At 43.2% G+C, this 25,789-nt stretch overlaps 1 protein-coding gene and 1 long non-coding RNA gene across 5 annotated transcripts in view; one reads left to right on the top strand and one right to left on the bottom strand.

Moving 5' to 3' along the window:
• VAT1L (vesicle amine transport 1 like) overlaps nt 1–25,789 on the bottom strand; it is a 191,544-nt gene that overhangs the window by 152,767 nt on the left and 12,988 nt on the right. The window contains exons 2-3 of the mRNA NM_020927.3: nt 10,291–10,420; nt 1,880–2,095 (exon numbers count right to left, since the gene is read on the bottom strand). Of these exons, the coding sequence (NP_065978.1) occupies nt 1,880–2,095; nt 10,291–10,420 (346 nt within the window). The remainder of the gene's footprint in view (nt 1–1,879; nt 2,096–10,290; nt 10,421–25,789) is intronic.
• Nucleotides 6,954–25,789, top strand: part of LOC107984878 (uncharacterized) — a 77,518-nt gene continuing 58,682 nt past the window's right edge. For 3 of the 4 annotated variants that reach the window (XR_001752259.2, XR_002957866.2, XR_001752258.2), the window contains exon 1: nt 6,954–7,022. This is a non-coding gene — a long non-coding RNA (uncharacterized LOC107984878). The remainder of the gene's footprint in view (nt 7,023–25,789) is intronic. The other variant, XR_001752264.2, reaches the window with a different exon arrangement.

The following is a 25,789-nucleotide window of genomic DNA, read 5'->3' as shown; positions in this document are numbered from 1 at the left end:
TAATTCTCAGCAGAACTGAGTCCAGCGTCATTGTAAAGACTGAAGCTTATGCTGATAGTATGACTACAAGTCTCTAATACTTTGTATGCTGAGCACACTAAGATCATAAATGCCAGCATTCTAAATGGCTTGCTTGCTGTTAACAGATTCACTGGAACTGAAAGCCATTTCTTTTCTACGGGATGCTTAGCTTTTATATGTCTTTATTCATGGTCGAAAGGTATCAGCAAATTTGCTAAAATGATTGAAGATATTTTTCTTAAGGCATTCCTAAAGTTTCCTATCTTTGCCTTCATGGTTCTGGATGTGAGCTTGTTTTCTTAGATACAAACAACGGAAATGTGCTCTACACTATATAGAGTTTTAATAGTTACAGAAAGCCAAGTTTTTCTTTTTTAAAATCAACGGTATGCTAGCAAAACCTCCAGTGAAATATCTCTGAGATACACCAAATCCTAAGAGTTTATTTCTGAGTTCATCAAACTACAGAATCAGTGACTCTGAGAACCTCTCAAAACCTCTAAGATAGGGGATTAATCTCTATATCCACAGAGTCTAGAACATGTTATGTGTTTAATTAATATGTTTTGAACTAGTAGGTAGTACCTTCCACTCTCAGAAACACTAACGTTCCACCCAGACCCCAGTAGACCAATGACAGACATAGTGCTTGCCATGTAGCAGGCATGCAATATACACTGAATGCCTGGCAATGAGACACAGACAAACCATGAGAGAAGTTTCTGCCATCCCTGAAATCTAGAGCAGAAATTTTGATTTCCACCATTCTCCGCCTTGGCAGAGACACACCTGACAGATGACGCTGACATGTGCAACCACTTTCATGAATGTACTTAGGTTTATGTATGATTTCTAGTGTGCTGGTACAATCTCTGCCCACTCAAGAAAATATAGCAGAATACAAATTAATAAGAATGTCATTAATATGGGAACCATCTCAAGTCCACTGCAATTTATTGAAAAAACTAAATCACTGACAAAATGACCATTTTGTCATTTCAAATAATAGCAGTAGTAGATGACTTGTGAGACGTCTTACAATGATTGACACAACTTTTCATCATGATACCAAGACTGTTGAGAATGCTTCTCTTTTTCTTTTTTTTTTTTTTTGAGACGGAGTCTCGCTCTGTCGCCCAGGCTGGAGTGCAGTGGCGGGATCTCGGCTCACTGCAAGCTCTGCCTCCCGGGTTCACGCCATTCTCCTGCCTCAGCCTCCCAAGTAGCTGGGACTACAGGCGCCCGCCACTACGCCCGGCTAATTTCTTTCTTTTTTTTTTTTTTTTCTTTTTTTTTTGAGATGGAGTCTGGCTCTGTCGCCCAGGCTGGAGTGCAGTGGCGCAATCTCGGCTCACTGCAAGCTCTGCCTCCCGGGTTCACGCCATTCTTCTGCCTCAGCCTCCCGAGTAGCTGGGACTACAGGCGCCTGCCACTACGCCCGGCTAATTTTTTTTTTTTTTTATTTTTAGTAGAGACGGGGTTTCACCGTGTTAGCCAGGATGGTCTTGATCTCCTGACTTCGTGATCTGCCCGCCTCTGCCTCCCAAAGTGCTGGGATTACAGGCGTGAGTCACGGCGCCCGGCCTGAGAATGCTTCTCAACAGGAACTATCTCTGAAAGCCATTGTGTCCTCACAGGCCATTTTGGTGACCTTCCAAAACTCCAGAGAAACCATCTCTCAGGCTTATCCTACCCCAATGCAATCATCTATATGGGCTTTGCTGTCCATGTGAACTCTACCAGAACCATAGTGATGATTCCTGCTAAAGGACATAGCTCACATAAGACCTCAGGGGGGTGTCACTCCACTTCCACCATCATGACCTTAAAGAAGAGAAGTTACAAACAGCTGACTTACCACGCCCCCACCAGCTGAGTGCACGAGCACAGACATCCCTTCCCGGAGGTTGGCAACTTCAAACAGCATCACATAGGCTGTGACGAAGTTCATGGGGAATGCAGCAGCCTCGGAGAAGCTCATGTCATCCGGGATCTTGTAGACAAACTCCACTGGTGTGCAGACCACCTCTGCCCAGGCATTGTAATTGACAAATGCCATGACACGGTCTCCAATCTGGGCATGGGGAAACACAGAGTTAGTGGAGGCTACCTCATGACAGAGGCTCAAGGAGAGAACAGAATTACTGGGAGCTGGCCAGGCGCTGTGGCTCATGCGTATAATCCCAGCACTTTGGGAGGCTGAGGTGGGTGAATCAATCAAGATCAGGAGTTCAAGACCAGCCTGGCTGACATGGTAAAACCCCATCTCTACTAAAAATACAAAAATTCACCAGGCGTGATGGCGCATGCCTGTAGTCCCAGCTATTCAGGAGGCTGAGGCAGGAGAACTGCTTGAACCCAGGAGGCGGAGGTTGCAGTGAGCTGAGATCATGCCATTGCACTCCAGCCTGGGCAACAAAGCAAGACTCTGCCTCCAAAAAAAAAAAAAAAAAAAAAGCATTATTGGGAGCTATCCACGGTACAAACACATGGTTTTTCCTGACTCATACACTTGAGAACTCTATCCAAATTTTTTAGTATCACAATCATTTTTTTTTTTTTTTGAGATGGAGTCTCGCTCTGTCACCCAGGCTGGAGGGCAGTGGCGTGATCTCAGCTCACTGCAAGCTCTGCCTCCTGGGTTCACGCTATTCTCCTGCCTCAGCCTCCCGAGTAGCTGGGACTACAGGTGCCTGTCACCATGCCCGGCTAATTTTTTTGTATTTTTAGTAGAGACAGGGTTTCACCATGTTAGCCAGGATGGTCTCGATCTCCTGACCCCATGATCCGCCTGTCTCGACCTCCCAAAGTGCTGGGATTACAGGCGTGAGCCACCGTGCCTGGCCCACAATCATTTTTTAATACTTTGATGAAACGAATAACTTTTAAAATACATTTGCAGTGCAAAAAGCTAATACATTTCACAAGTAATACAACTGATTTAATGAACCATTGACAGCTCTATGTTTCTTGTCCACCCATCTTCAGCCACTACCCTCTCCTCTCCAGAACCAGCTAAGTTGGTTAGTTGAGAACCCATTCCTTGAAACTCTGAACATTATTTAGGTGGTAGTGAAAGTCCTGGGAAGTGTCAGTGCATCTAAGGAAGGTAGCAAAACAATGCAGAGCCCTCCTTCATTCTTCTGAAACCACCTTTCACCTGGCAAACTTCTGTCCTTCCTTTAGGACTTCTCAAAAATGTAGTCCCCATAGCCAAACATGAGGAACTTACAGCCTGGCTGGAGAATGGATTCCTCCTCATGCGAGGTTTTTCTTTTTCTTTTCTTTTTTTTTCTGAGATGGAGTTTCGCTCTTGTTTCCCAGGCTGGAGTGCAATGGCACGATCTCAGCTCAATGCAACCTCCGCCTCCCAGGTACAAGCGATTGTCCTGTCTCAGCCTCCCAAGTAGCTCGGATTACAGGCACACATCACAATGCCTGGTTATTTATTTATTTATTTTTGTATTTATTAGAGACGGGGTTTCACCATGTTAGGCTGGTTGTGAACTCCTGACCTCAGTGATCCACCCGCCTTGGCCTCCCAAAATGCTGGGATTACAGGCATGAGCCACTGTACCCAGCTGAGAGGTTTTTCTATATGTACATTTGATCACTATGAAATCTATGATTTGCTAAACAATCATAATGTACTAGACTGTAATCTTCATTTTGTCAGTTAATCTACATGAAAGCTTAATAGGATATTATTCTTATTATAATTTTGAAGAAACTGAGACTAAGAATGGTTGAGTATCTTGCCTAATGACATACAGAGTGAAGCCTGTCTAATTCCAAATATTTTTCCATGACATCACAATGAGCACCCGCCATGTTTGCATATGAAGCCCCTTTTTGATCTTAGGTTCTAGGCACTGGAGATAAAACTGTAAATGAGGTACAGCTCATGCTTTCAAATTATTCATATTCTCTGATATTTTCATATGACAAGTGCTATGAGTGATAGGGCTTAGAGGAAAATCTACTTGGAAGGGATAATATTTCAGAAGAGAATGCAGTCTTAAGCCAAAAGCATGAAACTATGATGACGATGTTTCAGATATCGGTCCAAAGATAACAGAGTTCATTTTTTGGGTGTGGGAATGGTGGGTGGGGTCAAGGGATGTCAGAGTAGCCTGGAGGTGAGCGCTCCCAAAACCCTGGGGATTTTCCAGGTTGGCCAGTTCTGCGTATTTTGGAATAGAGCTGCTTCAGCCTCAGTGTGTGTCTGGAACAGGATCCAGAGGACTTGATTGTCCGTTTGGCTACAGGATGATATAGTATAAAGACAACAGACTGATCTTGGCACCATTCAGACCTGGGTAATGAGGAGTTCAGGTGAATGAGACAGTTGGAGACAGCATCAACAATGTTCTAAGTGAGTCTGGCCACCTCTGCTCCAGCTGCCAGGGCAGCTCTGTCGGGGGCAGGGGTTCGGGTTACCTAATTCAGAAAAGACACCTGAACCACAGAATCAAATTGCTCTGCCCCAGTGTGTCTTCTGGGGCTCTCGTGACAGCAACAAGAGCAAGGCAAAGTCTGGTCTGCTCGCTTTGAGAAAAGAGGCAAGTAATTAATCAATGTGATGATCCGACAGCTGGGCAAGGAGGACATTCTCACTGCCTCCTTGCATCTCCTTTCCTTATCCTTGGGTAGCCTGGCATAAACCTAAGCAGGTCTTCCCCTCTCTGAATCCTCCCAGGACTGCTGGAGAGGGAGAGGTCCTTGCCTAGATTTATCTGTATGTTATCTGTGGCTCAGCCCCCACATGCCTTCTTCTCTCCCCTCCTCCAAGCCCCTAAATGACCCTAGATTTCTTGGATACTGGAAGGGGGTGGCTCTCCACACTAGTGGTGACAGCAGTCTGTTCCAGAGAGGGTACAATTAAGAATAAAACATCAGCCAGGCCAGGCGTGGTGGCTCACGCCTATAATCCCAGCACTTTGGGAGGCTGAGGTCTCGGGAGTTCAAGCCCAGCCTGATCAGTATGGAGAAACCCCGTCTCTACTAAAAATACAAAATTAGCCAGGTGTGGTGGCCCATATCTGTAATCCCAGCTATTTGGGAGGCTGAGGCAGGAGAATCACTTGAACCTGGGAGGCAGAGTTTGCAGTGAGCCAGGATCGCACCATTGCACTCCAGCCTGGGCAACAAGAGCGAAACTCCGTCTCTAAATAAATAAATAAATAAAATAAAACATGAGCTAACAATAAAAAGTGGCAGCAGTGGGTGGGAGCTCAGACAATGTGAGCAAAGGAGAAGGAAAGGATCAGCCCCTGTGCCTGTTCAGTATTGACGCCTGTGTCTCCCTTATGGGCATGCTGGAAAAGCAGCAGGAAACACGAGAAAGTGCATGCTCACACCCTTATGCTTTTGTATCTACTATTTCTGCACTTGGTGCTGTCTTTCTTTCAGGAAAATATTTGATTTTCCTTTAAAGCTCAGCTCAAATGTTCTTTTCTCCAAAACTTTCCCTGACGACCAACCTTCCCCTACAAAAGCAGAACTGACATCTCTTCTTATTGCTGTCAGTATCTCTGTTTATTGAGAGCTGCTTGTGTGCTGGCACTGAGTAGACAGCAAATTAAATTACTGCATTTAATTCTTATGACAACTCCTTATGGTTGCTTTTATTATTGTTCCCATTTTATAGACTGGGACCTAAAGCTCAGAGCAGTTAAATAACTTGCCCAAGACCACACAGTTGTAAGTGGTAAAGACAAGATTTCAGGCTGGGCACGGTGGCTCATGCCTGTAATCCCAGCACTTTAGGAAGCTGAGGAACATAGATTACTTGAGGTCAGGGGTTTGAGATCAGCCTGGCCAACATGGTGAAACTCTTTCTCTACTAAAAATACAGAAAAATTAGCCAGGTGTGGCTGTAATCTCAGCTACTTGGGAGGCTGAGGCAGGAGAATCGCTTGAACCTGTGAGACAGAGGTTGTGGTGAGCTGAGATCATGCCAGTGCACTTCAGCCTGGGCAACAGAGTGAGACTCCCATCTCGAAAAAAAAAAAAAAAAGACAAGATTTCAACAAAAGTCCACCTAATTCCTTATATAATCCTTCATAATTATGCAGATCCCATTATATTGACTTATCCTTTTACATGACTAGCTCCCTCTCTAAATGGGGAGATCTTAGAGGGCAGAGGCTGGGTCTTATTGATTTATGGATTCTCAATGCATGACCCAATGCTTGGTGCATAGTGAGTGATGGGTTGATGGATAATTACAAGTAACTGAACGTTGTCTAACTTCTCCATGGGTGGGAAATGGGAGAGAATAAGGGAAGAAATTCAGTCCTGGAGAAGCTTTCAGTAGTCTCATAGGAAACATCTGTAGGTCTAAAGGGGAAAACCAGTGTCTGCAATTGACTAGAATGCACTGCTAGGGCAGGGACTGCTGGGGCAGGGAAACTACTGGGGAAGGGGCTGCTAGGTGCTATTGTTATTGATAATAATAAATGGCATTTACCAAAACAAAAACTAATATGTTCCTGAATCTGCGCTAAGTGCCTTTATTTATGTGACCTTATATAATTCCCACAAGAACTCCATGTAGTTCTTGAAGTTCATGACTAATAATGAACTATGACTGTGCCCTTTATATAGATTGGAAAATTGAAGCTGGAAAGTGAAGGAGCCTTTGAAGAGCAGAAGCAGAAGGCTTCCAGTTCAGATCTGTCTCTCTGCAGAGCTCTCCTTTGTTCTAGCCAGTTTCCATCTTCTTGGTGTTGCTAAGACAAGCTGTTACTAAGAGGAGGCTATCCTGACTGACGGCTCATGCTGGTTTGAGGGTCCTTCTCTTATTCTGCAGGAAAAGATACAGAAACAATGGGAAACACCCCTACAGAGCTCGAGCTTGAGGATGTGAGCATCGATGAGCTTTCCTTTTCTTGGCAAGGGGTTTGGTCTTCAGCTAAATGTGTGTTTTTGCTGATTTTAGGGGGATTCTAAAGCAGCACTGGTTCATCTAGCTGGAAGTAGCCTCAGCCAAGGCCATGGTGAGTTTTCTTAGTTCTAATATATTTGTAGAGGGAGAATCACGGAAACCCTGGGAGTCACCATGACTATTGTCATCTCCTCCTAGTGTTAGGTAAAAGTTCAATCTGACCAGGTGCGGGAGTCTACCTCAATCCTCTTGAAACCATGAAAGAAATGGCCTCAGATAGTCTGATTCCAGATACAAATAATTAATTCATTACACTTGAGAAAAGTGCTCCAAAGGAAACATAACGTTATATAAGGGTGCATAACAGAGGAACCTACAAAGTGTGGAAATATTAGTTGAACTTTTCAGGGCTCAGTTTCCTCAGCTCTGAAATGGGTATAATATTAGTAAAGGGTCTTTATGAAAACTAAATGGCATAATACACACCCAACGCACTTAACATGGTGCATGGAAAATGAGGAAAGAGCAATACATGTTTGCTCTAAAAGAACAGATTGGTTCCTGACCTGATGGAATTCACAGTTTAGCAATCAGCAGTTAAATACTGACTCATTATATTTCAGAAAGCAGGAGGAACAGCTGTCTAAGGAGGAAACTGGGGTAAGAGAGGCTGTCCCACTGTCAGTGAGTGTCCCAATCCCCGGAAGGGGTGAAGACCAATTAGTGAATGTGAAGAATATCATCTTCAGGCTGGGCGCGGTGGCTCATGCCTGTAATCCCAGCACTTTGGGAGGTTGAGGCGGGTGGATCACCTGAGGTCAGGAGTTCGAGACCAGCCTGGCCAACACGGTGAAACCCTGTCTTTACTAAAAATACAAAAAATTAGCCAGGTGTGGTGGCAGGCACCTATAATCCCAGCTACTCAGGAGGCTGAGGTAGGAGAATCACTTGAAACCGGGAGGCAGAGATTGCAGTGAGCTGAGACTGTGGCATTGCACTCTAGCGTAGGTGACAGAGTGAGACTCCATCTAAAAAGAAAAAGAAAAAAAAAAGAAAAAAGAAAAGAATATCATCTTCAGTGCATCAGAAGATAACTAGGGTCTAATACTAGCATCCTGTTCTTCACAGAATCACGAAAACCCAAAGACACAGCCTCAGTCCCACAGAATAGCTGATGGCCTCCAGGGTCAGCACAGAGTGTAATGAACAGAATATTTCAACCACCTTGGCAGTGGTGCTCATGGCCATCACTACAGGGCTGGCTGCTCCCAGATCTCTCCTTTGACTTTGCTCCATCACTTCCATTTCATTATCAAAATAGCAAATATGTCCAAGCCATAGGTTCAGCTCCAGTCTCAGAGTCCAGAGGCAGGCACATTTAAAACATAACCACTTCATCTCATTATTTGATTCTGCTAAGAAAAAAAAAATCAGTCCTGGCCAAAATGCACCCAAGTTATTCCTTTATTACCCGGCCTCCGGTGACAGCTTTTCATCATCCTTTGCGATCTATCAAACCAAGAGAGCTATTCAGTGTGCTGCTGCAAGGAATTCCATCTCCAATATGACTGAAGATCTTAAGTCAAAATTATAGATGGAATACTAGTGTCAGTTTTCTCCCATATCACACCCTAACTGGAAACGAGTAAGTGACTTATTTTTTTGTGCAGCCACAAGTCACTGGAAGGGAGAGAGTTTAATGGGTGGGCTTGATAGTAAACAAGCCAGGGCAAATTAGCAAAAGATAAGTCATATTGAAAGGAAAAATATACATAATCAAGTATAGTAAGTTCTCCCTCTAAACCAAGTTGAACAATGTCCCTGTTTCCTGTTATATTCTAAAATAACTGGTTATTTATTCAATGCTTGGGGTTAACGGAGTGAGCTGCATGATCTTTTCTTTGGGGACCATGTGGAGGATTGAAGAGAAGATAATATTTCTTATGTGCAGCACTTTCAGGGTGAGATAGTGTGCCTTTGGTTACACTGCTTACCTGGGGACAAAAAAATGTAAATTCGTATAAAAGAAAAGAAAAGACTCATTTACTGCCTCTTTCTCAACATTTATCTGCTGTCTTATCTGAAAACCATTGGCAAAAATACTAATAAATGGGATGAGATTTCCAGACATTTTTCATAATGAATTTGGAGCATATTGATCTTTTCACAGGATACTGAGGCTCAGACACGCTGAGACTGAGAAGCAGGCTCAAATTCAATTTCAAGGGCATTTTGGCACTGCATTTTATAGGATTCTTCTTTAGCTCTCCTGTCCTGCATTTATTATTGCAGTATTTGGGGGCTGGGAGTAGGGAGTGAAGATCATGAGACTGTAGGAAGGATAAACAAGCTCTGGTGATTTGAATCCGGGTTCTAGTGGTACTAACTACCCTTCTGACCTCACAGAAAATTACTGAACCCTCCCGAACCTCATCTGCAAGGGGATAACAATCTTTGCTTTGCAGGGCTATGGTGGAGGCTTAAAAAAGATAACTTCTCCATGGTTCTGATTATAGCGGGTTCTCAAATGTTCATTCCTCCCTAGGGGAGCACTTAGTTATGAGTAAGAGCCCTTGTACCTGATTTGCATTGGTTTTTCTGACTCCAAACTACTGCAATTTTGTGTAATTGACTTGTGCACAGGTTTTCAGTTTTTATAGACTGGTTTCTATTTGATTTGCGTTATAATAGTAGGAAGGGTCATACATCTTTTTACAAATTAAAAAAGGTTTTATTATGGAGAATTTTGAACATGTACAGAAGTAGTCAGCATAATGTAATAAACCTTTTTGCCCATTTCCCTACTTCCAAAGCCATCAATCCATGGCCAGTTCTGTTCTACTTATCAGGTACCTCCACTCTTTGACTTTAACATCTTCTTCATCCAAAATGCTACCTCCCCAATTCCTGAAGTAGTTAGGGATTTATAAATGATTACTTAAATGTACCAGTTAAGTGACTATTTGAGGGAGCCAGGTTATAAAATAGAGAGTCCATTTCCTCTACACTTCTGTGTTTTGTAGTTGCATTTTGAGCTGAAGATGATCAGAAAATGAGAGTTCCGGATATGGGAAGGGGCTATGCACACTTAGTTAATCCAAATGCCAAATACTTTTGTTGAATAGCTGCATGACATGAATGAAGGGGGAGACAAGATTTGTCCTGCCCCCTGCACCAGAATGCTGCCAGGAGCAACCAAGATAGTCTATAAAAAAGGCATGAGACCTTAATGACTATAAACATTGTCAACAGTCCAAATAAGAAGACAATGATAATAATGCACGCCATAGGTTATTTCAGACATTTCTTTCTGCATCATCTTTTGTTGTCTCAATGGATTCCAAATGAATATTACTCTTCAATTGAGAGCCAAACATTACCTCATATCCTTTCACGCTGTCCCCCAGAGCTTCAACAATCCCAGAACACTCAAATCCTGGCACCAGGGGAGTCTTGGGAGGGTTGTCAATATTCCCTTGTCGCACCATCAAGTCAATGAAGTTTAATCCACTGTAAAGAGCAAATGTGAAAGGAGAGAAATTCAAAATGAGATCCAAAAGAAAGCACCGACCTGGTTTTCTTTTCTTTCTTTTCTTTTCCTCCTTTCCTCCCTCCCTTCTTCACTCCTTCCTGTCTTTTTTTTTTCTTTTTGGCAAAGTATCCCTAATAGTAATGCCGCTTAGCTAGATGTCACCAATAATGCAAAATTCAATTATCTCTATGCAGATAAGCAATACATTTGTGGCAATGAAAACAGTAGTTGCAGAGTTTACACTGATTCAAGAGATGGCCCCTTTGTCTTCTCTCAGAGCCTGTTTATGCTTACTCTAAAAACATATTGACTAGCCTGGCTATCAGAGTTCTTAGTACTTAATCAAAGGTAAAAGATTTACCAGGAAGTGGTTATAAACAGACACATGGAAAGCAGCCAGACCTAATGGCCACTAGCCAGTGCCTGAGAAAGAGAAAGAAGACCTAAGGTCTCAAAACAACCAACCACCTCTCCTCAATCATCACACACACTTACATCAGCACTATGCATAAACAGCTCCCACAATGGTGAATATAAGCCATCAGGAGATTACATTATGTTCCACTGGAGGAGAGGGGACTCAAAGAGAGATCAAATGAATGCCCCAATAGATATGGGAATACTGGAGTGTTTCAAAAATCTAAGTTATTTCCAGATGAGAGATATTATTAGATATTTTTGATTAACACATTACTTTTGGAATAAGAAAGTTATTAAAATATATCAAAGTCATCATAATGGAAAACCATACACTTGATTCCAATGACGCTATTAGCAATGCTCCTGGACTCTTTTTATTTTATCAGAACTGCTCTTGGGAATTCCATTTAACACCCATTTGCTAATCACATGGGGAAACACATCCCATTAAACATGCATTTTTTCCCAACAGATGTGGTTCTAATGTACTTTTTTTTTTTTTTTTTTTTTGAGACAGAGTTTTGCTCCTGTTGTCCAGGCTGGAGTGCAATGGTGAGATCTCAGCTCACTGCAACCTCCACCTCCCGGGTTCAAGCGATTCTCCTGCCTCAGCCTCCCAAGTAGCTGGGATTACAGGTGCACACCAACTCGCCTGGCTAATTTTTGTATTTTTAGTAGACATGGGGTTTCGCCATGTTGGCCAGGCTGGTCTCAAACTCCTAACTCAGGTGATCCGCCCACCTTGGTCTCCCAAATTGCTGGGATTACAGGCATGAGCCACTGTGCCCAGCCAACTTGAACTAGTTCTAAAGCACATCTTGCTTATTTCTTCCCTGGTCTCTTTGGACCCAAGGAAGCATCTAACTCCACCTATGCCCACTGGTCTCACTTATGAGTCTCATACACAGGGACTGAATAAAGGTGAGTAAGACGACTTCCTTGAAGTCTGGGCTCAAAACTCACCACCTTCTCAAAGTTTTCCCAACCACAAATTAGAGAAGTTTCACATACTGAACCCGGCTGGTATTTCTCTAAAGTGCAACCTCCTTGAAGGCATCTGTATGCCTCATATTTCTCTGCTTCCAGTGTGCCTGGCATGCATCAGACCCAAAGTAATATAGCAGGGACTCAAGTAACATCTGCTGAATGAAGGAATAGTCATGGATATTCAAAAATATGTGCTGCCAGTTTGAGTGCTAATTCCTTCTAAAAAGCAGTCAAAGAATTTGGAGTAATGGATACATTTCTGAATGATATTTGTAGACTCCCAAAGATCCTACTTCAATGATTAGTGGTTATCCAGGTCATTTATTAACTGAAATGTTAATAATTTAACATGGCCACTTCCTTAAGAGCTTGGGGAGACTGGGGTACAAATCCCAATTCTACCACTTCTATCTCTATAACCTGGGAAAAGTTACTTAACTTCTCCATGCCTCAGTTTCCACATCTGTAAAGTGGGAGTTATGACAGTACCTACTTCACAGGGCTGTCATTGAAAATTAATGCACATAAAGCACTGACATGTGGTGCCACGTACATAGTCAGTATTCAATACATGTTAGCCTTGAAATTTGCATCTTCCGTTAAGAAGGCAGAAGTATGTGATATATTTTAGGAAGGCACTCGTAAAAAAAGGGTTAAAAACAGTTTCACAGCTGACATGGAAAAACTTCAGCTATCTCTGAACTTCACTTGTATAAAATGGCCGATTTTCTGACACAATCAAATAAATAACGCATCACTGTATAACAGTAAATAAAATTTCTACAACCTGAATCAAGCACTCCATCTCATTTCATGTATATTTTAGCTCATTGTGTTTTTCTTTTCATGAAAACCAATGATTTCCCAAGGCCCTGTTGGAAAAATGCTAGAAGAAATTTGTTGCCATTTCTGCAAACATGGCAGCCCCCTGGAGAAGGCCTCATCTTCGACACTTATTACGCTGCTCAACTGGGCTGCCTGCATTCGCCATCCAGCATGAACTGGGCCCAGTGATGGTAAACTGAGAGCCAGCTACTTAAATTCCAATGAGAAGAGGCTAACACTGACTTTTCAAAAGCCTGTAGCACCCTGTTTCCTCAGTGAGGCATTAGGCGATTCTGTCAGGTCATGGAGAATGCCCCCTATTTTTAGGACGCAGGTGTATTTTGGAGACGGAGACTAGGACAGGTCAGTATTGTTTATTTCCACACAAAGGGGATGTAAATAATTGTTAACAGAGTACTCCCGAGTGTTGGATCAGACCTGTTTCTCCTGATTTGGATATAGCTAGCTTTTGCTGAGCGTTTAGTTTGTGTCAAGAACTGTGCTAAGTGCTTGACTTTTGTTATTTAAGACTCATCAATACTCCTCCTATGAGGTATGAACTATCATACCAATTTTTCAGATCAGAAAATTGAGACCCAGAGAGCGTAAGTAACTTGCTTGCCATCACATCTTTTCAAAGTGTCAAAGTCAGGATCTGAATTCATGCAAAGCCTAGAACCTGACCCCTTAGGCAATACACTCTACCTCTTTAAGGGGAACTTCTCTATGCCCCGCCCTTGCCCATACAAGAGCCATGTTTATAGCTCTTTATATCTTCCCCCTTGCAGAGAACTGACTGCACCAATGTGGGCCCAGTATTGGAGGAGTGGCCATTCATAATCTAGACGGGAACCCATTCCTTAAACTGAATAAATGAGCTGGTCCAAGAACTGGGTGTTCTCTGTAAAACTATGAATTGGGAAACACACATCAAGAGAACGACTTAGCAATAGAAAGGATGTCAAAAGACAGAAGTGAGTGACAGAGATCTAGTTGACCTGAGCTTTGGGGAAGCATACGTGGAAAAGCCAATAGCTGGAAGAATTAAAAGAAAAAACACGAACAGCAACAGAGTCAACCCAACTCCCTGCACCAGGATGAGGCTTTGTAGACTTCCATTGCTGAGTTCCCTAGAATGAGGAGAGGTCCAGTCTCTGGGCTTGGAGAGGTCCAGCTCCATCACACCTCCTGCTCTATGATTTCCATGAATTCCTTCATTACTTCACACATGTGTTTATAGCAGAAGCTCTTTGCTTGGACTACCTGTGTGGTCCCTGTCATATGAAACCAAAAGATACAAACTCAAACGAATACCGTAATCAATCACCCATTGGGACAGACATTGTTGACTCTACTTTTTTTTCTTCAGACAAAAATAACTTTGTTGGTTTAGAGATAATAAGTTATTTACCCAAGGCCACACAGTAAATAGTGAAATCTATGAACTTAAAAACTTGAGTCTAATCCTTTTCTTTTTCTACCACAACAGAAAAAATAAAATAAAATAAAAAAACAGGGGCATGTCAATGCCCCTGTTTTGCACAATTACAGTTTCCAGTATTCTCTAAGGTAATCTGATTCTTAGTTAGAATGTTTTTGGGGGTGGCAATGACTATGCCTGATGACTCAGGCCCACAAATGGAGTAAAAATTTTATACAGCTCTTAAACATTTCAGATCATTGCAAAAAAAGAAATAGTGTTGGAAAGTGCCTGACATAAAGTTCTGCCAGGTAATCCTATTTTTCTCAAAGATTGGTATAATTTTAATAAATAATATAAGACTGTCTCAGTTTTCTTCCCATACTAAATTATTAGTCAGAGGCTAGGTTTAAAGAGTTATCATTGAGACATGGCATCCTGAAGGAATGAAGATAGAGGTTTGAAAAAGAGACCCTGAAAAGCTCAACAGTTAGAATGAGGGATCTGAAGATATGTTAGGGAAGATACAGGAAAATTGGGGGACAGTTCCTTAAAATAATAACACTTTCTTATATTTGTAGAGTACAGCATGGTTTACCATGTGCTTTCATACACATCTCATTAAAATTCGTAACAAGCTGAGAAAACAAGTGCAGATACCGTTAATCCCATTAAATAGATGTGAACATTGAGCCTCAGATAAGAAAACTGACTTGTTAAAGGCACCACAACACCACTGACAGTACATGACAGTGACAGAGCCGAGACTTGAATAAAGGTCTTCCAACTCCTTCCTTATTGTGTATCCCATAACACCATGAAATCTCAAGTAAATCAAATGTTACTAAAATCAAGAGTTTTAAGATTCGGGAACGGCAGGGCATGGTGGCTCACGCCTGTAATCCCAGCACTTTGGGAGGCCGAGACAGGTGGATTACCTGAGGTCAGGAGTTCGAGACCAGCCTGGCCAACACGGTGAAACCCTATCTCTACTAAAAATACAAAAATTAGCCGGGCGTGATAGCGCACGCCTATAGTCTCAGCTACTCAGGAGACTGAGGCAGGAGAATCGCTTAAACTTGGAAGGCAGTGAGCCAAGATCACTCCACTGCACTCCAGCCTGGGTGGCAGAGCGAGACTCTGTCAAAAAAAAAAAAAAAAAGATTCAAGGACAAGAAGGCTGAAAGGAAACAGTGAAAAGAAACAGATGCAGGTGCTTGGGTTTTAATCCCTGTGCTGCCATCAATTAGCGGTGGAGTTTGGCTGAGTCTCTGAAGCCTTCCCCAGCTCTCATCGTCTGTTTGTTTGATGGTCCTTTATCCTGTGGGCTCTGTTTCAAACATTATCAAAATCAAAGCTTAGGTAGAGAGGAAGAGACGCTTGGTGGTCTTGAGAAAAAGACATTGACTTGTATGCTTAGACTTTATATAAGAGTTAAAAGCTAGCCTTGGCCTCTACACTTTCTTTTCTGTTACCTAGTAAGTGATGAATATCACCCTGTAAAGTCTCCTGAGAGATGGTTAGGTGCCTTTATTTTTGTCTTGCCAAAGTCAACAAACATTGCTCCCGTGATGATACTGCTACATGTTAGGTATTAAGGGATGGAGTGTTTTAATCTCCATTTTGTGCAAAAGGGAGGTGAGACCAAGCGAGAATAAAGTACCTTGTCCAAGGTTATATAGTTCGTACCAGAACTGGGAATATAAGCCCTTTTTATATGACTGCCAAGCTTGAGTTCTGACCACCAGGCTGTCATTGTGTGATCTATAAACCATGGTAGGCCGCTGTGTCTTCTTGTCCCCAAAGCTTATCGTTTGGAATTTTTTTTTGGATATGCTAACAATATCAAATGAAGACACATTTGATTTCTTAAAAGATATCACTAAGTGGATGACAAAAGAATCAGCCCAGCTATAGTTTATTAATTTTCCAATTTGAGGTTAAAAGTGACTCAAAAGAAGGAGTTTAGCAAAGATACATGTAGCATGGAGATGCTCCCTTGTCTTCTACTCTCCTGGTGAAAAAGAGGCAGGGGTTGCTCATATGAAAAGATCTTAGGCCTCTTGCTATCCTGTTCTTTCCTCAGGTTGTCAGTATCCTCAGCATCAATCATGAAAATCCAAACAGTGTCAGATCATTAAACAAATCTCCCTCTTCCGAAACCTACTTCTCTATTGATGCAGATTATAGAGCCTCATCCTATATTTTCCTATTATACTCAATAGAAATCCCAAGTCTTGTTCTGTCATTAGTTCAATTAAGAGACAGACTGCCAAAGAATCTTCAGAAACCCATTGTTTTATTAGGTTGGTGCAAAAGTAATTGTGGTTTGTGCCATTACTTTTAATACTTACTGTAGGGATTTTGTTAAGTATATAATTTGCTACAATATATATTTACGACTTTATGAAGACAGTACTTTTTCCTCAAATCTCAGCACAAGGATTGGCTTTATGGATCTTATAGGCTCAGTACAGTATATACATTGGTTATGTTTATTTCTTTGCATTGGCTGCTAGGAAGCTCTGAGCCAAATTTGTCACATTCATTCTCTATATCATTTTTGTTGTTGTTTTTGAGATAGAGTCTAGCTCTGTCACCCAGGCTGGAGTGCAGAGGCGTGAACATGGCTCACTGCAGTCTTGACCTCCTGGGCTCAGGTGATCCTCCCACTTTGGCTTCCCAAAGTGCTGGGAAGTGTGGGAAGTGCTGGGCCACCGTGCCCGGCCTCTATATCATCTTAATAATCAACTTCATCTTAACCTCTGAGTACTTTGGAGATTCCATTTTTTAAATCCTTATACTCCATTACCAGTGTTAGTAGTATTGTGAATGGTTCTCAAACTTTATTATTCATCAGAACTTCCAGGAGGGCTGGTTAAAACACAGATTTTTGGGCCCCACCTCTGAGTTCTGGACTCAAGTAGATCTGGGGCGAGGTCTGAAGTTTTTCATTTCTAAGTTCCTAAGTAATGCTGATGCTGCTGATCTGGGAACCACACTTAGAGAATCACTGATCTTGTTTTATTTTTTAAAGCTAATTCAAGTCTTTTGCTAAATGAGACAGAGTACAAATTAAATGGTTAAATAGAAAGTAAATGAAAAGTTCTCATTGTCCTCTAGGGCAGTTGAATTTTTGATCTTAGTCCAGAGGATTATAGTTATCCTTGCTAGATTTGGTGTTATTAGATTAAGTTCATCATTCTCATTTGTCTGTCTCTTTCTTGAATTCTAATTCTTTCATCAAAAAAAATTAATTCTCCCTCCTGGATTTGTAGCCTGTGAAAATGTGGTTATCATGACACGAGCTTCTACATCCAAGTTGCTGATAAAAATATCAGACAGGCTGCCCCGTTCCTGGTTACTAAGGATGTTTGTGAAGACCATGAAGGATGTCATGGAGGAAATTTAAAACACAAGACTAGCTGACATCCTTTCTTCAAATCTGGAGCTCTCATGATTCTATGAAATAGTTCCAAGACACCTTGAAGTCACATGTAGTAAACTCGATAAAGACTATGAACCCTCTCTCTTTGTGGGCAATGGCAGTAGATCCCCTCCCTCTACCCATAGCAGCAATTGCTGAGAAGAGGGGATGAGCCTTGAGTACAATCACTTTTTGTAATGCAAGTCAGGATCATCATGACATTTATTTTTTCTGAAAGTGCACATCCTGGCCCCAGCTCTGAGAGTCTCTTTAGTGAAAGCACACACTCTCATGTGCTGTTAGGGTTGCAAAGGACCACTTGAGTAGCCCAATGTCAGCTGTTCCCATGGAAAAAAAAAAGATCAAAAAAGAATGGACTCTTTCTGAGAGGGCTGTCCTATAGGGCTTTGTGACTGTTGGAGGCATCCCCAAGAAGCTAACAGAAATCTGGCCTTTCTAATTTCTCTGATGATGGAGGATGGGAAGGAAAAGAATTGATTTGTGGCTAGCAATTGTAATAGGTAACTTTTATGGGGCGCTTTCTATGTATCAGGCATGGTGTTGAGTGTCATTTCAGTTTTACAACAACCATAAACAATGCTAAGAGATCAACAATATTACCCCCATTTTACAAAGAACAAAACCAAAGCACATTAAGGTTTACAAAATGTTGGTTTTACCTGGCTTACATTACTTGCGAAAGCAAGTGATGTAAATCCAGAGCCTGTGCTCTTGACTAATGTACTTTGCTCTCCTAGAGAAAGATCATGGCTCAGTTTTCCCAGTTACAAAGACAAGAACTCTCCACTCAACTAGCACATTGAGCCTACTGTATACTATGCCGTATACTAGGTAGTGGATGCCCAAAGTTAACAAGGGGCTCCAAATTCTCATGGGGAAACAGAATCATAAAAACTGATCACAGCTGGGCACGGTGGCTCACGCCTATAATCGCAGCACTTTGGGAGGCTGAGGCAGGTGGATCACCTGAGGTCGGGAGTTCAAGACCAGCCTGACCAACATGGAAAAACATCATCTCTACTAAAAATACAAAAAATTAGCCAGGTGTGGTGGTACATGCCTGTAATCCTAGCTACGTGGGAGGCTGAGGCAGGAGAATTGCTTGAACCCGGTAGGTGGAGGTTGTGGTGTGCTAAGATTGCGCCATTGCACTCCAGCCTGGGCAACAAGAATGAAACTCTGATTCAAAAAAAACAAAAACAAAAACAGAAACAAAACTGATCACTGTACGATGACAAGTGGTCTTCTAGAGCAACGGTCCCAAACCTTTTTGGCACCAGGGACCAGTTTAATGGAAGACATTTTTTTTCCATGGAGCAGGGGTGGGAGGATGGTTTTGGGATGATTCAAGCACATGACATTTACTGTGCATTGTATTTCTATTATTATTACATTGTAATATATAATGAAATAATTATACAACTCAGCATAATGTAGAATCAAGTGGGAGCCCTGAGGTTGTTTTCCTACAACTCGACGGTCCCATCTGGGGGTGACAGGAGATAGTGACAGATCATCAGGCATTAGATTTTCATAAGAAGTACACAACCTAGATCCCTCACATGTGCAGCTCACAATAGGGTTCATGCTCCTATGAGAACCTAATGCTGCCGCTGATCTGACAGGAGGCAGAGTGCAGGTGGTAATGCGAGTGACGGGTAGTGGCTCTAAATAGAGACGAAGCTTCACTTCCTTGCCCACCAATTACCTCCTGCTTGGTGGCCCATTTCCTAACAGGCCACAGACCAGTACTGGTCTGTGGCCCAGGGAGCCCTGTTCTGGAGTATAGGCAAAGTGCTCATATAGCCACCATGGCACATGCTAATGTACAATATAACCATGAAGTCAAAGCATCAACCTCCAGAAAGTTCTCCCCAAAGAATTATTCCAAGCAGTCCTCTGCAATCACCAAAGCTAAGTTTAGATCTTTAGCTTTAGCTTTCTGGCTCCTCCTCAAGTGGGTTGCTTGACCTTGGGCCTTAGTTTTTCCATCTCAACAATGGGATAGTAACACAACCACCTTACGGGGTGTTGTGTGGATTGCATGTGACAGTATATGTAAAACAGAGTACCTCGTACACAGTAAATGCTCAACAGATATAAGCTTGCTATCCGAATCACTGTCATCACTATGACACAAAGAAAATGCCATAGGTCAGGTTCCCTGGGAAACAGACTCCGAGACTGAGATTTGCAGCAAGAGGTCTGATAGGGAGTGTTCTAAAAGACAACTCCTAGATGGGCAGGAGGGAAGCTGGACTGGGGACGGGGAGAAGTTGAACTCTGATATACCAGTAAAGAGGTCTCAGTTCATCCTTGCAAAGTTCCAGACATAGCATGGTTCCTTGAGTAATTCTGAACAAAGACATGGGGACTGGGCCTTTGCACCCCTGCATCAACCAGTCAGGAATGAGGGCTGCCCCCAGGGAGGGGGTGCAGGCTTGGGGAAGGAGACTTTCTTTGGCTGAGAACAATTCCTCAGGAGAAACCAGCTGTGAGCTGTCAGCTGCCATCATTCCTGGTAGCTGGGGGAGTGAGCACTGAGATTCTAAAAGGATGCTTTAGGGGTGGTGCACACTAGCTCCCACTACAAGAAGAGTAGTGTGATCTCTCCTTTCAGGGTTTATTCCCCTGTGGTCACAGAGCAGCTGTCACTGATGGTGAATTTTTATGAGGCTCCTTTGCACGGCAGTTCCTGAGGAGGAAAGATCTGGTGGTTCTTATAACAAATGGTGCAAAGGCAGGAAAGAGAATGAGACCTTTAAATAAAAACCTGAAAGAATGAGAGGGAGGGGAAAGAACCTGCTGGGATCAGGTGCTTCTCACAGAAAGTATCCCTTAGGAATGGGCGTGCCTCTTGCTCCCATTCTCTCAGCCTCTCTGGCCTCACCCCAGCTTTCCATGGAAGGGAGAAGACAGCACAGAGTGGCCATGTCTTGATTTCTCCCTGGAGCCACCAAGGACCAGCATTCCCATGGAGAAACAGTCCATTTTTGCTATGATATGACAGCTGTTTCCTAAGATATGTTAAAATAAAGTTCTTATGTTTTATGATATGTTATCATATCATAAAAGATATGATAAAAGTAATGTTTAGTAAAAACAGTTGTTCCCATAGAAAAAAAGGAAGTGAAGATTAGAAAAATAAAGAGATCAGCCTGGGCGCGGTGGCTCACGCCTGTAATCCCAACACTTTGGGAGGCCGAGGCGGGCAGATCACGAGGTCAGGAAATCGAGACCATGCTGGCTAACATGGTGAAACCTGTCTCTACTAAAAATACAAAAAACTTGGCCGGGCGTGGTGGCTCACGCCTGTAATCCCAACACTTTGGGAGGCCGAGGTGGGCAGATCACGAGGTCAGGAAATCGAGACCATGCTGGCTAACATGGTGAAACCTGTCTCTACTAAAAATACAAAAAACTTGGCCGGGCGTGGTGGTGGGCACCTGTAGTCTCAGCTGCTTGGGAGGCTGAGGCAGGAGAATGGCTTCAACCCGGGAGGCGGAGCTTGCAATGAGCCGAGATCTTGCCACTGCACTCCAGCCTGGGTGACAGAGCGAGAGTCCATCTCAAAATAAGTAAATAAATAAATAGAAAGAAAAAGAAAGAGATCGAGGAATTTAAAAAGGGGGCAGAGGCTGGGTGCTGTGGCTCAGGCCTGTAATCCCAGCACTTTGGGAGGCCAAGGCAGGCAGATCACCTGATGTCAGGAGTTCAAGACCAGCTTGACCAACATGGTGAAACCCTGACTCTACTAAAAATATAAAAATTTGCTGGGCATGGTGGCAGGCGCCTGTAATCCCAGCTGCTCAGGAGGCTGAGGCAGGAGAATTGCTTGAACCCTGGAGGTGGTGGTTGCAGTGATCTGAGATCTCACCATTGCTCTCCAGCCTGGGCCACAGGGCAAGACTCCATCTCAAAAAAAAAAAAAAAGGCAGAGACTAAGGAAAAAATAACACAAAAAGTAACAAGCAGATAAATACATGCAGGATTGGTAAACTGCTTGGGGAAAATCTATGAAAAATCACACTTCAGGGCTTTCTATGTGTCTGTGGGAAGTCGGAGATCACGACACTGGCGGAGAGGCAGGCATCAGGGAAAGCACCATCAAATTCTCAATAGAAAGCTTTACCAGCCCTCTGCCTCGGAACTTTAACCAGTCCTGCATTTGTGGCAGCCTTTGCCAGCTCCGGGCAGAAGCAAGCAGACCTCGTGCGAGGCTTTGTGCCAAGCAGACGCAGTAAGGGAAGGTGTGCTCTTTGCTTATTCTGCTCTCGTCTTGCTGATAATATGTTCATCAAAGCACTTAACTCCCAATCCATGCGGGGTCAAAGAAGCAGATGTTTGATTAATTTTCTCATTGCCCCAGAACTGAAGCTTTTGTTTTTGTTTCTTAATCTCAACTGAAAACTTGAAAATGCTTAGGAAAATAGGCATTGATCTCAGAAAATCTTGGGCATAAATCTTTTTTCTTTTTTGATTTGCTCAAGTGCCAGTTTTGTTATCTCAAGACTGTGGGAACAGACTGACACAAATTTGCTAGGAAAGAAAAAGCTCACAGTGACCAAAGCAAGGACACTGTTTATGCAAATCTCAGATGGCAGCTCTTATTTGAGAACAGCCAGAATTGTCTCAGAGAGGTCTTAGGATTCACCTGAAGAATCCACCTGTGTTCAATCAGAGGCTGGAAAGGGTATGCTGGGATGCTCAGACTCCCTTCCCACACTGCTGGCTCATGGCTCTTGACACTGGTCCCCTTGGTGACCAGTTCCACATAACCCTGTCCACCCTCTCTAACCACTATTTTAAGATAAGCAAGCCACTGCAGCCACGGGAGACATACGGAGTTTTCCGACCCATCTGATTTTATTCATAATCTACCACTTTACATTAGTAGTGCTGTCACTGCCCCACTGAGATCCCTTTGTCCATAACATATGCTGGGAGGAAACTGGGAGAAAAAAGTTCTCTTTGCAGTGGGACTTGCTAAATTTGTACATGGCTGCTGGAGCTAAAGACCACCGCCTTTTCCAGCCTCAAGAAGGAAGCTCATTGTAGCAGGAGCACAAGATGCCAACTCATGAGGAGAGAGAGGAAAAAAGATGGAAGGGGAAGGAGAGGGGAAAGCGTAGAATCCCAGGGACAAACTCATCATGATGGCCAGCATGGCTGAAATAAGGACAGAGAGGAGGGAGGAAGTGACTTGGCAGTGATGATGAGGGTAATATAGCTTGGGATACAGTTGTACAAGTTCTTTGTTTCTACCGTGTCTGGGAAAAGAAATACATTCAGATCATATGCCCAAATTAGTATTCAAAACACACCTCAGTAGTATTTCCAACACAGAACAAAACAGCCAGGAGACATATTGAGAATCTAAATGTCTAGAGCCAGTTTTCAGCAGAAACAGAAAAGCCAGGTCCGAAAGGGTCCAAAACAAGCACTCCTAGATGCTGAGACTAACTCTTTTGACTTTGAGACCTGGAGTTATTTACTCTCAGCCCCTCCTCGGGACACAGCAGGAGGTATTTATTCCTAAGGTTCCTGTAAAGGTTAACATCTTTATGCTCCATGTTTGATGTTGACCAAGGCATTCACTTCAAACAGGTGTTCGGCAGTGACTGGTTGCATAGAACATTTAATGTCATCCAATTGAAATTCAACAGACCCCTCTGTGTTTTGGGGCTTGGCTAGGCACTAATGTCACAACAGTGACAATGACATCTCTGCCTTCCAGGACTCAGAGATCAACAAAAGAATGACTACACGGCATGACAGTTCCATAAGAGGAGGCTGTACAAGAGTCACAGCTAGCACAGAGAGGGTAGTTCTTAAATCACGTCACTGGGATCAGGTTCTTCTCACAGAAAGTATCACTGAATGGGCGTGCCCCTTGTTCCTGTTCTCTCAGCCTCTCCAGCCCCATCTCACCTCTCCACAGAGGGGAGAAGATAGAGTAATGATGGTTTGATTTCTCATCGGAGCCAAAGATGGACAGGGTCTCAATGGAGAAATAGTCCATTTTTCCTACAACGTGACAGCTATTTCCTAAGACATTACTGCTGATAAAAAGAATGTGTAGCCAGGCATGGTGGTTCACGCCTGTAATCCCAGCTCTTTGGGAGGCCCGGGCAGGCGGATCACGAGGTCAGGAAATCGAGACCATCCTGGCTAACACAGTGAAACCCCGTCTCTACTAAAAATACAAAAAATTAGCCGGGCGTGGTGGAGGGCGCCTGTAGTCCCAGCTACTCTGGAGACTGAGGCAGGAGAATGGCCTGAACCCAGGAGGTGGAGCTTGCAGTGAGCCGAGATCGCACCATTGCACTCCAGCCTGGGCAACAGAGCAAGACTCCATCTCAAAAAAAAAAAAAAAAAAAAGAATGTCTAGTAAAATGGTTGTTTCAATAGGAACAAAAAAGGAGGTGAAGACTTGAATAGACATGTCCAATAGAACTTTCTGGAATGATGGAAATGTTCTGTCCTTGCTGCTCTCCAATATGGTAGCCACTTGGCCACATGTGGTATTGAACACTTGAAATGTAACTAGTGTGACTAAGGAACTGAACTTTTAGTTAGGTAATATTTAAGTCTAATGGATCCTAAGGAGGAGAGAGTAGTAGCATCTCTACCCTATTATCTTCCCTGTAGACTATGAGCAACTTTAGGGCACAGGGCTTGTCTTAAAATCCACCTTTCAATGTTCAGTGCTTAGCACAGGGCACATTAAAGGCTGGCAAACAATAATTTCTGCACTGAAGGTGTAAGTAGGAAAATACCTAGGAATGATTTGAGCCCTATTCTTTCTTCTCACGAAAGAAATCATTGCTGGGCTGCCGGCCCTGCTGTGTCCGCTGCCGTGATGGTGAGAAGGAAACTGAGAAGATCAAAGGCCTGCTTGATTGATGCGCCTCAAAAAAAAGCAAGGATTTACTCCTGAAAGATTAAAGACTAGATATGAAGGGTGAATAAAGATTGCCAAGAAATGGCAAGAGCAAGGTTTCAAAGTCTGGAAGAGTTTGAACAGAGTAGGGGAGAGTTTGGAGGGAGCAGCGGCACTTAAGGGATGTACACAGGAAAAGAAAATGTTTGAGAAGTTTTGTCCGTGCCATGAATGGATGCAACTTTAGTGTGTGTGTGTGTGTGTGTGTGTGTGTGTGTGTGTGTGTGTGTGTGTGTGTGTTTGAGATGGGGTCTCGCTCTGTTGCCCAGACTGGAGTGCAGTGGCACAATCTCGGCTCACTGCCACCTCTGCCTCCTGGGTTCAAGCAATTCCCTGCCTCAGCCTCCCGAGTAGCTGGGATTACAGGCGCCTGCCACCACACCTGGCTAATTTTTGTATTTTTAGTAGAGACGGGCTTTTACCATCTTGGCCAGGCTGGTCTTGAACTCCTGACCTTGTGCTCCACCCCCCTTGCCCTCCCAAAGTGCTGGGATTACAGGCGTGGGCCACGGTGCCCCGGCAACTTTAGTGTTTTCTAAGGGACTCAAGACTTTCACAGTGCTTTTCAATTATTTTGGAAGCTGGGTCTCCATTCAAGAACAAACAGGCCTAGCTATCTTAAGGATACAAAAGGAAAAAAGATGACTAGGAAAAGGAAAGAAAACTGCTAAAAATGCAAAAGGAAGTTGTGGAGTCTCCCACATGTGCTGCTGGCTGAGGACAGAGATGCTGAGGCTCAAAGCGGTGGGAGGGTGAAAATTGCCTTTGCCATTCATTTCCTATGAAGTAGTAGTCCCAGAGACATGGACTGTCTGTCTCTCCTCCGGGGTCAGACAGAGAAGGCCTTCAAATCTGAAAGGACTGTTTCAGGAAGGTGGGCGCATGGATGGCTGCGTCATGCATCGTCGATTCCGGCTGCAAAACGTTGAGTCAGAGTTTATTATGAGGTCCCCAGTAGGAACAATTTTAGGGAGTTTAACTGAGTGGATAAAGGGAAACCAATTAGAAAATCATTCAGACCAATCATAGGTATGGTAGGTTTAATAGCTCCCCATTAGCTGATTGAACTAGGCGTAGCGTAGATAAATGAAAGGCATTTCTTTCTGATCCTAGATGAGGGATGCTTTTTTTTTTTTTTTTTAAATGAAAGTGTGTACTTTGATGGATAGTCTGCTCAAAGGTACAAGTGTGCCTGTGTTGGGAGGAGGGGTAGGAGTATGAAGAGTGCAGTTTGAAAGTCTCATCAGAGCTCCCTTGAATCATATGGCTCAGACTATCTGGGCCAGTGGGGCTGCCCCACAATC

Source organism: Homo sapiens, chromosome 16 (assembly GCF_000001405.40).
Source record: "Homo sapiens chromosome 16, GRCh38.p14 Primary Assembly".
Classification (NCBI taxonomy): Eukaryota; Metazoa; Chordata; class Mammalia; order Primates; family Hominidae; genus Homo; species Homo sapiens.
This window is presented reverse-complemented; position numbering and strand designations above follow the sequence as displayed.